This window comes from Homo sapiens, chromosome 12, assembly GCF_000001405.40.
Source record: "Homo sapiens chromosome 12, GRCh38.p14 Primary Assembly".
Lineage (NCBI taxonomy): Eukaryota > Metazoa > Chordata > Mammalia > Primates > Hominidae > Homo > Homo sapiens.
In genome coordinates, this window is record NC_000012.12 from 86,491,605 (window position 1) to 86,504,499 (window position 12,895).

The 12,895-nt window shown below is 32.2% G+C and overlaps 1 protein-coding gene across 3 annotated transcripts in view; it reads right to left on the reverse strand.

The window, feature by feature from the left end:
* MGAT4C (MGAT4 family member C) overlaps positions 1–12,895 on the reverse strand; it is an 883,334-nt gene that overhangs the window by 535,938 nt on the left and 334,501 nt on the right. The window contains exon 3 of one of the 3 annotated variants that reach the window (NM_001351285.2): positions 3,647–3,711. The exons of the other annotated variants lie outside the window; for them this stretch is intronic. The gene's annotated coding sequence lies outside the window, so the exon portion shown is untranslated. The remainder of the gene's footprint in view (positions 1–3,646; positions 3,712–12,895) is intronic. 3 annotated transcript variants of the gene reach the window in all.

A 12,895-nucleotide genomic window follows, 5' to 3' on the forward strand; every position in this document is an offset into this window, starting at 1 on the left:
CTAAAAACTCTCAATAAATTAGGTATTGATGGGATGTATCTCAAAATAATAAGAGCTATCTATGACAAACCCACAGCCAATATCATACTGAATGGGCAAAAACTGGAAGCATTCCCTTTGAAAACTGGCACAAGACAGGGATGCCCTCTCTCACCACTCCTATTCAACATAGTGTTGGAAGTTCTGGCCAGGGCAATTAGGCAGGAGAAGGAAATAAAGGGTATTCAATCAGGAAAAGAGGAAGTCAAATTGTCCCTGTTTGCAGACGACATGACTGTATATCTAGAAAACCCCACTGTCTCAGCCCAAAATCTCCTTAAGCTGATAAGCAACTTCAGCAAAGTCTCAGGATACAAAATCAATGTACAAAAATCACAAGCATTCTTATACACCAATAACAGACAAACAGAGAGCCAAATCACGAGTGAACTCCCATTCACAATTGCTTCAAAGAGAATAAAATACCTAGGAATCCAACTTGCAAGGGATGTGAAGGACCTCTTCAAGGAGAACTACAAACCACTGCTCAATGAAATAAAAGACTATACAAACAAATGGAAGAACATTCCATGCTCCTGGGTAGGAAGAATCAATATTGTGAAAATGGCCATATTGCCCAAGGTAAGTTATAGATTCAATGTCATCCCCATCAAGCTACCAATGACTTTCTTCACAGAATTGGAAAAAACTACTTTTAAGTTCATATGGAACCAAAAACGAGCCCGCATTGCCAAGTCAATCCTAAGCCAAAAGAACAAAGCTGGAGGCATCACACTACCTGACTTCAAACTATACTACAATGTACAGTAACCAAAACAGCATGGTACTGGTACCAAAACAGAGATACAGATCAATGGAACAGAACAGAGCCCTCAGAAATAACACCGCGTATCTACAGCTATCTGATCTTTGACAAACCTGAGAAAAACAAGCAATGGGGAAAGGATTCCCTATTTAATAAAATGGTGCTGGGAAAACTGGCTAGCCATATGTAGAAAGCTGAAACTGGATCTCTTCCTTACATCTTATACAAAAATTAATTCAAGATGGATTAAAGACTTAAACGTTAGACCTAAAACCATAAAAACCCTAGAAGAAAACCTAGGCATTACCATTCAGGACATAGGCATGGGCAAGGACTTCATGTTTAAAACACCAAAAGCAATGGCAACAAAACCGAAAATTGATAAATGGGATCTAATTAAATTAAGGAGCTTCTGCACAGCAAAAGAAACTACCATCAGAGTGAACAGGCAACCTACAGAATGGGAGAAAATTTTGCAACCTACTCATCTGACAAAGGGCTAATATCCAGAACCTACAATGAACTCAAACAAATTTACAAGAAAAAAACAAACAACCCCATCAAAAAGTGGGTGAAGGACATGAACAGACACTTCTCAAAAGAAGACATTTATGCAGCCAAAAAACACATGAAAAAATGCTCACCATCACTGGCCATGAGAGAAATGCAAATCAAAACCACAATGAGATACCATCTCACACAAGTTAGAATGGCGATCATTAAAAAGTCAGGAAACAACAGGTGCTGTAGAGGATGTGGAGAAATAGGAACACTTTTACACTGTTGGTGGGACTGTAAACTAGTTTAACCATTGTGGAAGTCAGTGTGGCGATTCCTCAGGGATCTAGAACTAGAAATACCATTTGACCCAGCTATCCCATTACTGGGTATATACCCAAAGGACTATAAATCATGCTGCTATAAAGACACATGAACACGTATGTTTATTGCGGCACTATTCACAATAGCAAAGACTTGGAACCAACCCAAATGTCCAACAATGATAGACTGGATTAAGAAAATGTGGCACATATACACCATGGAATACCATGCAGCCATAAAAAATGATGAGTTCATGCCCTTTGTTGGCACATGGATGAAACTGGAAATCATCATTCTCAGTAAACTATCGCAAGGACAAAAAACCAAACACTGCATTTTCTCACTCATAGGTGGGAATTGAACAATGAGAACACATGGACACAGGAAGGGGAACATCACACTCTGGGGACTGTCGTGGGGTGGGGGGACGGGGGAGGGATAGCATTAGGAGATATACCTAATGCTATATGACGAGTTAATGGATGCAGCACACCAGCATGGCACATGTATACATATGTAACTAATTTGCACATTGTGCACATGTACCCTAAAACTTGAAGTATAATAATAATAAAATAAAATAAAATAAAATAAATTATCCTGCATCAATGGCAGCACCTGTGCTTATAGAAAACCGTATGTTTAGGGTACAGATGTTTGTGCATATGCTGAGAATGTGTATTCTTGCAACATCTCTGAAAATGTTGCGATTTTTTTCTCTCTCTTTTTTTAAGTACTACTTTATTGAGTTACATGGGACATACAATAAAATATCCTATTATAACTATACAATTGAAACATTTTGGTAATTTTGTATAGCCATGTAATCACCATAACAATCAAGATGTAAAACCTTTCATTCACCTTAAAAAGTTCATTTGTGCCCCTTTATGGTCATTCACATCCCCTTTTCTGAGTATAGTTTTACAATATATTCTTTCAGAAAGCTTGCAATTTTCCATTCTTGAATATGTCTTTGAAAGATCAAAAGTTGTAATTTTGATGAAGTGAAGTTTATCCAACTTTTTATTTATTGTTACTGTTTATATCACATTATTAAAAAAAACCTTGCCTAGCCCTCTAAAATTGTTCAAATTTTATTTGATAAAAGTATTTGATAAAATTCAAATACTTAGTATAGAAAAAATAAACTTTTAGATTTTGTTTCAATTTTATTTTTTAGCCCCATGTCTTTCTCTCTCTGACATATAGACAACTCCTATTTTTATCAAACTAAACATATTATACAAACAATAAATCAAAATAATAAAATAGTGATAATTTTAAAACTTAGACTATTAAAGAAATATATTTTATTTAGTTATGTGATTTCATGATAGAAAGCATTGTATAAATGATGCAAGAAACCCCACAAACCATAGCAATCATTTAAAAAAAAAACGTGCTTTAAAATCTTCTACAGGAAGAAATTAAAAACAAATGTAGAGATAGGGAAAAATATTTTAACATAAAATTTTAGTTTCAGAAAATACAAAGCATTCTGACATTTGACTTACAAAAAGACAACTCAAATAGAGAAATAGAGGAAATAATAAAAATAGGCAACTAGTTCATCAAAGAAAAAGGGATTGAATTATAAGTAAAACATAAAGTGTTCTTAGCTTTCTGATAACTAGGGAAATTTAAACAGAAATAGTAATAAGATATGTTTGAATAACCATCAGATGATAATCGACAATGAGAAAGAATGAAGTTGGGAATATAATGTATTTCTAATAAAACCGAAAATAAACACATCTAAAAATCTAGTGATTCTACTTCTAAGAATATGCAGAATATGCACATCTTATGATCTAGCAATTCCACTTCTAAGAATATACACTAAAGTTACTCTTAACCACTGCTCACTCTAAACATTAGAAATACCCAAATATCTTTATAAACTATTTATTTGCATATCAATAGGTATAGAACGCAGAAATATTCTCTTGAGAGGATAAATAGGCAGCAGACCACACACAACATTTAAACAGTATATAGTAAAATTATGGAAATTACTTTTGAAGGCCCCCGTCATCTGCATACGAATGCTTATTCGAGGAAAAGGAGGAAAGAAATAGGACCTAAAGGAAGAACAAAGAGAGTTTGACATTGTCTGTAATATTTGCTTTTATATAAATATAGGAATTATACCTATCAGAAATTGTATGTAATAAACAACCACAACAGCTCAGTGGCAAATGAAAATAATAATTTATTTTCCACATCTATAGTGCATAGGATGGCCCTGCCATTCACATCTGCATTATGCCTGTATTTGAAGACTGGCTGGTGTTCTGTGTGTCCAGGCTGGGCTCAGCTAGGCACCACCACTTCAAGCTGCAGATCTGCTTGATTCAATTGTACTGTAAGTGTTTTTAATCTGGATCCCAGATGGAAAGAGTAGCAGATACCTACAGGAAGTTCTTGTGGGGATGGTGAAACCGGCCTAATTATCCCATAGAACTGATGCTTACAGTTGTTTGAATAAAGAGAAATTGACCCTCCATGTCTTAAAACTTGAAACTTACTTTTGTATTATGAGTTCCTTCCTCAGTAACTCATAATAGTTTCTTCCTCAAACAAGAAACTAAAACTCACCAGATGACTACATCCAGACAATAAGACGCCAGACCCCTCACCCATCATGATTTTCTAACCCCTCCCTAATTACTTTTTACCAATTCCTCTTCCTAACCCTTCCCTAATTCCTGTTTTCCTACATGTAGCTACATTCCTGCCCCGCTATATAAACCTCTGAGTGTAGTTGGTTGGGGATAGGGAGATGGATTTGAGACTTAACTCCTACCTCCTTCACTACAGCACCCAAACAGTGACTTCTGCCCTAGCAATACTTACTGTCTCGGTGATTGTCTTTCTATGCTGTCAGCAGCAGGACCTAGATAATTGTTCCCTCCTCTAGTGGATGCATTTGATGATGGGACCTATAGAGTGATAAAGACAAAAACCCAGGACAGAGCCTGGGTTTTGAGTGGCTCTCTTGCGGACAACCACATGAGCAATAAAAGAATTTTGATTGGTTTCCTCCTCAGATATTTAAGCCTATTTGTTATGCTATTTACTCTAACTAATAGTTGTACCCTAGTACTTATCTTGCAGAAGCCATTTCCAATGTGAATGAGCGTAATAATTATTAGAATGATTTCAGACATGTTAGCTCAAAGAAAAAAATAAGCTCTCACAGGAAAATACTGAGATTCACTTTCTCAATCTTTTTAGAGAAGGTACATTATACAGAGTCATGAATGTCAATACCTAAAATTATGTGGTAATAAATTTAATAATGTTTCAGAAATGCTTAAAATATCTGTAAAAATGAGATAAATGTGTTTGATTGTTCTTTCAAAATGTGTTGTTTTCAAGAAAGAGAAGCTATATATTTGAAAAATTGTTAACAAATCTGATTGCATGGAAGATCATACAATAAATATTTATATATACATAATGTTCTATTAAAAGGTAAACACTGACTATGAAAAACACTTCTATAATTGGCTCAGTGTAATTGAGCTCACCATTCAGCCTTTTATAAAACGTTCATCACTAAATGCTTTTAAATAATGTATGAGTCATGTAATTGCTCTGAGTATTTTTATAATGACTGTAGTTCATACTAGAAAATGTACCTACTACCTATATGGGTCTCCCATAAAACCATATTGAACCCTAATAGATATGAATTTGAAAGCAGATATCAGTAGATTTATTCTAAGAAGGAAAATATAATTAAACTTTATCACCTCTATTTACAGTTTCAAATTAAAGGTAAAAAGACATTAAAAATTTAAACACATAATACATAGCTTTTTCAACTTTAGATATTACAAAAATGCAAATATTTTCAATAAAATCCAGATGGCTACAATTGCTAAGAACTTAGTTAATTAAAATTATTTTTAATTCAAAATGTGTACTTCCTTGTAATTGATTTTAAATTACTTAATTCCTTTCTGCATGATTTATGTCATTAACAAAACCAAGTTGCCACTAAGAAAATAATCCAAAGAATTAACCAGTGATAAATTAGGCTCTTTGGAGTATATACCTGTGAGCCATGTCATTTCAAAGTTAAAGCAGCGTTTTTGATGCTTTGACAAGGAGAAGAAATTGAATATAGAAATTGCCTTTATCAATATTTTACAGCATAGTACTTGAATAATAATGTTAAAAACAAGGAAATTGTTACTTTTATTGTGCTCATTGATAAATTGATTTAGTGCTAATGTGTTCAGACCTAATCAAATTCCTCTTTACCAGAAATGGATTTTGACCCCCTTTTCCCAACCATATTGAATGCCTTCATTTCTAGACAGTAAAGCTAGAAGCTATAAAATATATGACAGTGTCAGGGCACTCTCAGAGTATGCTGGACCCATTCTCATAATACCAGATAACTTTATGGCGTTTCCAGGATGCATAGGACTCAGGTTACATTTCCAACATGAAAGTACATGTTCCTTTAACAAATTACCTTTTCATGAAGTTTGACTGTATTGTGCCCCATTATTTCCAATTAGCATGGTGATGCTTATTTTGCTTATTTTTCACCTTCAATTGCTATAGCTCTATGCAAATTCTTTTTCTCAAAAAACTGGCCTTTTCACCTTTACCAGATTGCTAATTTTCTCATGAAATTCCTAAATATATATATATATATATATATACGCACACACACATATAATATTATATATAATATATAAAATATATATTATAAATATATATTATATATATAATCTTTATATATTATATTATATAATCTTTTTTGGTTTTTGAATAATCTTTATTCTAACCTGTGCTTATGAACATTTTATGTGCCATTACTGTAGTAGATTTTTGTTTGTATTTTGGTCGTAAGCACATATTCCTCTTTCTGAGTGCAATATCACCAATACTTTCTTTGGGGCATTTGTTTTTCCCTACTTTTCTCATTTGTATATTCTATTTGAGACTTATTTTAAAAAGTCCCTGATTATGGCAATTGTCTCAAGTATATGCAGCCAACCTAATCAGATATATACAGTTGACCCTTGAACAACAGAGGTTTGAACTATGTAGGTTCACTTATATGTATATTTTTTTCCAATAAACACATTGGAAAATTTTGTGAAGATTTGCAACAGTTTAAAAAAACCACAGGTGAACTGTGTAGCCTACAAATATCAGAAAAATTCAGAAAAAGCAAGGCATGCATGAAAACATAAAATATATGTAAGATTAGTCTATTTTATCATTTAGTACCATCAAATATACACAATATCTATTACAAAAGTAAAATTTATCAAAACTTACACAAACATTTACAGACCATACCTGGCTGCCATTTGCAATCAAGAGCAATGTAATCAAGTGTACAGATGCAGTAATAAATAATAACTGCATAAAATTAATTGTAGCATACTGTACTTATAGCCAGCTCCTATTGCTATTGTGGTGAGCTCAAGTGTAGCAGGTATCCACTTAAAATGCCTGGTGATGCTAATTATCTCCACATGACCACTTTACCTCTTCAGTAAGTTGCACTATTACAGGAAAAAGTGATCTCTCATGATTCTTGTGTATTTTTTATTGTGCTTAGCGCAAAACTGTAAACATCGAATAACATCATGGGACGTATAAGAAATCACTAGTGATACTGGAAGTACTGCCAAGAAGAGAGAAGTCAAGACATTACAAAAAAAAGGTGAATTGCTTGATATGCACTATAGATTGAAGACTGCAGTTGCAGCTGCTCACCATTTCCAAAAGAGAATCCATTTTGTAAATAAACAGTGGAAGTACTGTAAATGTATTTTTTCTTCCTTATAATTTTATTAGAAATGTTGTCTTTTTTATTTTACTTTGTGTTAAGAATACAGTATGTAACATATAAAAATGCTTTAATCAACTGTTTATGTTATTAATAAGCCTTCATTGACAGTGGGCAATTAGTAGTTGTGTTACGGTGGGGTTAAAAGTTACAGGTGGATTTTGGACTGTACAGAAGTTGGGGATGTTAAAGGCTCAACTATATTTATGTGTGTGTGTGTATGTATATATATATTTGGTTATTTATATCTGATTATATATACAATATATATACATACTCTATAATACACACATGCTTGCACACACATATACACCTATATATATATTTCAACACAGAGGTTACTGAAGGTAAAACTGCTATAGCCATATTGTCTCTATGATGGGAGAACCTGTTTCAAACTGGGTCTAAGTGAGAAAACAAAACAAAACAAAAAACCTCTCTTTGGCTTAAGGCAAAAACAATTGGAATCACTCTCAATCGTCTCTTTTTTTTTAACACCTAAAAAATTCTGCCAGACCTATATGAAAAGATATCCCCAAACCAACTATTTGTCACCTTTCTGCTTAAATTGCTAGTTAATGGTACCTCAATATTTTTGCCTGGACTGGTACAATCACTTTCTAATAATTCTCATTTTTCCATTCTAGTTATCACAATTCATTGTCATCTGTCAGTCAGAAATTAGAATTTCTGAATTTGACTGTGACACAGTAGTTTAGATTAAAATATCATACACTCTTGAACAACTAGAGAAGAGAAATAAAAATACTTCTTCAAAAATGTTTGATTGTATCAGAGAGTATATACAGCCAAAAATGAAGTTTCCAGGATCATGGAGAGAAGACAAACATATGGAAGGAAGTGGGGCTTTTTCTTCTTTTTGCCCATCAAGAGTTACCAATTTCTATGAAAGGTGGGTCTAGAGACAAAGTAGAAAGCAGCAGCATATGCATTCTTTCAACATATCAAAACATGCAGAGAGCAGCCAAAGCTTAGAGGCAATGTTACAGCCTTCAATGCATCGGAAATGAAAAAAAAATTGCTGAATTCATTACACATATATCTATGTATGTATGTGTATATATACATGTATGTGTGTATGTATGGTGAATATCTATATTCATATATATGTATACATATATGTGTATTTATACACACACACATATCATATATTAAAAACTTAGAACACACACAGCAAATTAGATCCAAAAAAGTAGAATAAAGTAAATAATACTAAGATCAGATTTATTTATGTAAATGATAAAATCCAACAAGGTGTTCCCAAAGAGAAAGAGAGAGAGGAGAGAGCAAACATGAGAGCATACACTATCAAAATTCAGAATAAAGACAGTATATAAGTAAATATCCTATGGCTGAATAGATTAAACGTTATTAAAAATTATGCCAATAATTTAAATTTTATATTAAATGAAAAATTTCTTTTGAAAGGCAAAATATAAGTGACATAGTAAAATAGAGAAGATAGAAATAATCCTTTATTTATTAAATACATTAATATATAAATGCAAATCATTCTGCAAAGTAAACTTCAAGTTTAGGTTGCTTTACAGAGAACCTTCTCAAACATGTAAGGAAGAAACAATCCACCAATTTATGCAAACTCTTTGTGACAAAAGAAAATAGGATGTACTGTTTACTTTATCCAATGATGTTTATATAACTTTGTTTCATAACTGGATACAGACATTACAGGAAATCAAAATTACAGGTCAGAATTTTGCATTAATATAAACACAAAAATCTGAAATAAATATTTGCAAGTTGAATTCAGGAAAATATAAAAATATCACAATCGAATTTGATTTATTGCTTGAATGTAATCTTAGTTTATCATGTGAAAAGCAGCTTAAGTAATTTATCAAATTGAAAAATGAAATAGATAATAGTATAATTGCTATACATAAGAAGTCTTTTGATAAAATTTAACTCCTTGCATACTGCCTTGATGGGAGTTCTGGAACAGGCATATACATTCTCCAGATTTATGAGCAAGCTTCCACACAGAAAGAAGATGGTCTCCTTAATAATAAAACTTGTTTAATTGTATAGCCACATTGGAAAAAGAATAAATTCTGAACTCTACATTACCCTATACACAAAAATACATTCTGAGTTGATAGTATGGGAAAAAATATATTAAAAAGAGAAGAAGAGAAATGTTTCTAGAAGATAACAAAGGAAATTATCTTCATTACATTGGAATTTTAAAAATTATTTTTATTTGTTTTTCCCCCTTAGCACATGTATTGTTATTTATTTTATTTTATTTTAAGTTCTAAAGTGCATGTGCAAGAAGTGCAGGTTTGTTACACAGTTAAACGCGTACCATGGTGGTTGCTGTACCTATCAACCTATCACCTAGGTATTAAGCTCAGCATGCATTACCTCTTTTTCCTAATGCTCTTCCCCCGCCCACCCTCCCTCAACAGGCCCCAGTGTGTGTTCTTCCCCTCCCTATGTCATGTCCATGTGTTCTCACTGTTCATATCCCACTTATAAGTGAGAACATGCAGTGCTTGGTTTTCTGTTCCTGCATTAGTTTGCTGAGCATAATGGCTCTCAGGTTCATCCATGTCCCTGCAAAGGACATGATCTTGTTCCTTTTTATGGCTGCATAGTATTCCATGGTGTATATATGCCAAATTTTCTTTTTCCAGTGTATCATTGATGGGGGTTTGGGTTGATTCCATGTCTTTGCTATTGTGAATAGTGCTGCAATGAACATACATGTGCATGTATCGTTATAACAGAATGATTTATATTCCATGGGTATACACCCAGTAATTGCTGGGTCAAATGATATTTCTATTTCTAAATCTTCGAGGAATTGCCACACTGTCTACCATAATGGCTGAACTAATTTACATTCCCACCAACAGTGTAAAAGTGTCATAATTAGGAAAAAACACATAATTACATCAGAAAAGATTGACAAATTGGAAACCTTTAAAATTAGGACTCATGATAGACACCATTAAAATAATGAAACATAATTCAACAAGATGTCCTTCAAAAGGTAAATGAATGAACAGTCTGTGTATCATTTGATGGATATGGAATGTTATTGGGAAGGAATTATTATTGAAAAATTAAACCCTATAAGTCAAGTCACAAAAAGACTTGGGAAAACCTTAAATACCTATTCATAAGTGAGAGAAGCAAATCCTAAAATGATACATATTATATGATCCCAACTCTGTGACATTTTGGAAAGGGCAAAACTATGGAGACGGAAAAGGGATCAATGGTTGCCAGGGGGTTGGGGTGAAGGAAGAAAATATCATTAGGTAGAACCCAGGGGATCTTTAGGGCACTGAAACTATTCTGTATGTTGCTATAATGGCAGATACATAACATTATACAGTTGTCAAAATCCATAGAGCTGCACAATACACAGAGCAAACTGCAAAGTTAACTGTGGACTTTGGTCAATAATAGCATATTAGTATTGATTCATCCATTGTAACAAGCATATGACATATTACTAGTTGTTGGCACGGGGAAAGCAGTGTTTGGAGGGTGAAGTTATATATATATGTATATATATATATGATTTCTGCTCATATATATACATGATTTCTGCTCATATATATACACGAGTTCTGCTCATATATATACACGAGATCTGCTCATATATATATACACGAGTTCTGCTCATATATAAATACACGAGTTCTGCTCATATATATGTATACACGAGTTCTGCTCATATATATGTATACACGAGTTCTGCTCATATATATGTATACACGAGTTCTGCTCATATATATATATGAGTTCTGCTCATATATATATATATATGAGTTCTGCTCATATATATATATATATGAGTTCTGCTCATATATATATATATATGAGTTCTGCTCATATATATATATATGAGTTCTGCTCATATATATATATGAGTTCTGCTCATATATATATATATGAGTTCTGCTCATATATATATATGAGTTCTGCTCATATATATATATATGAGTTCTGCTCATATATATATATATATGAGTTCTGCTCATATATATATATATGAGTTCTGCTCATATATATATATATATGAGTTCTGCTCATATATATATATATATGAGTTCTGCTCATATATATATATATATGAGTTCTGCTCATATATATATATATGAGTTCTGCTCATATATATATATATATGAGTTCTGCTCATATATATATATATATGAGTTCTGCTCATATATATATATATGAGTTCTGCTCATATATATATATATGAGTTCTGCTCATATATATATATGAGTTCTGCTCATATATATATATGAGTTCTGCTCATATATATATATGAGTTCTGCTCATATATATATATATGAGTTCTGCTCATATATATATACATATGAGTTCTGCTCATATATATATATATGAGTTCTGCTCATATATATATATGAGTTCTGCTCATATATATATATATATGAGTTCTGCTCATATATATATATATATGAGTTCTGCTCATATATATATATATATGAGTTCTGCTCATATATATATATATATATGAGTTCTGCTCATATATATATATATGAGTTCTGCTCATATATATATATATATATGAGTTCTGCTCATATATATATATATGAGTTCTGCTCATATATATATATATGAGTTCTGCTCATATATATATATATGAGTTCTGCTCATATATATATATATGAGTTCTGCTCATATATATATATATAGAGTTCTGCTCATATATATATATATATATATATATATGAGTTCTGCTCAATTTTCTGCTAAATTTTGCTACAAACTTAAAGCTTCCCTAAAAAAATAAATTTCATTATAAAAATCCACAGTTGGAAAAGACTTTTGAAATTTATATATTCAACAAACAACTTACGTTTAAAACCTTCCTACAAAATAAGAAAAATAAAGACAATTGATGATATAAAAGAAGTGTGAAAAGGCACTTAAAATGTGAAAAGGCATTTAAAATGTAGGCTACCAAATGGCCAACAAACCTAAGAAAAAATGCTCAAATTCGATAGTCATCAAATTAATGGACACTACCTTCATGAAGAGATGCCACTGTAAATCTTCAGAATGGCAAAAATTAAAAACTTGGCAATACCTAGTGAGGATGTAGAACAATTTTCAGTTTCATATATTATTGGTATATTTGAACCCTGTCATTATCTGCTGGAGCTGAAAATGCACTATCCTATGACTCAGAAATTCCACACCTGGGCATATAACCAAAAAATTTGGTACATATGTGTGTGTAAAGACATGTGCTAGAATATTCATAGAAGCAATTATCCATAGTAATGAAAAACTAGAATCATCCCAAATGTCCATCTACAGTAGAATGTATACATTTGAGTATTAACAAGTGATAGAATATAGAGTAAAAATAAACAAGCTACTGCATGTATACATACACTTCATAAAATGTTTAC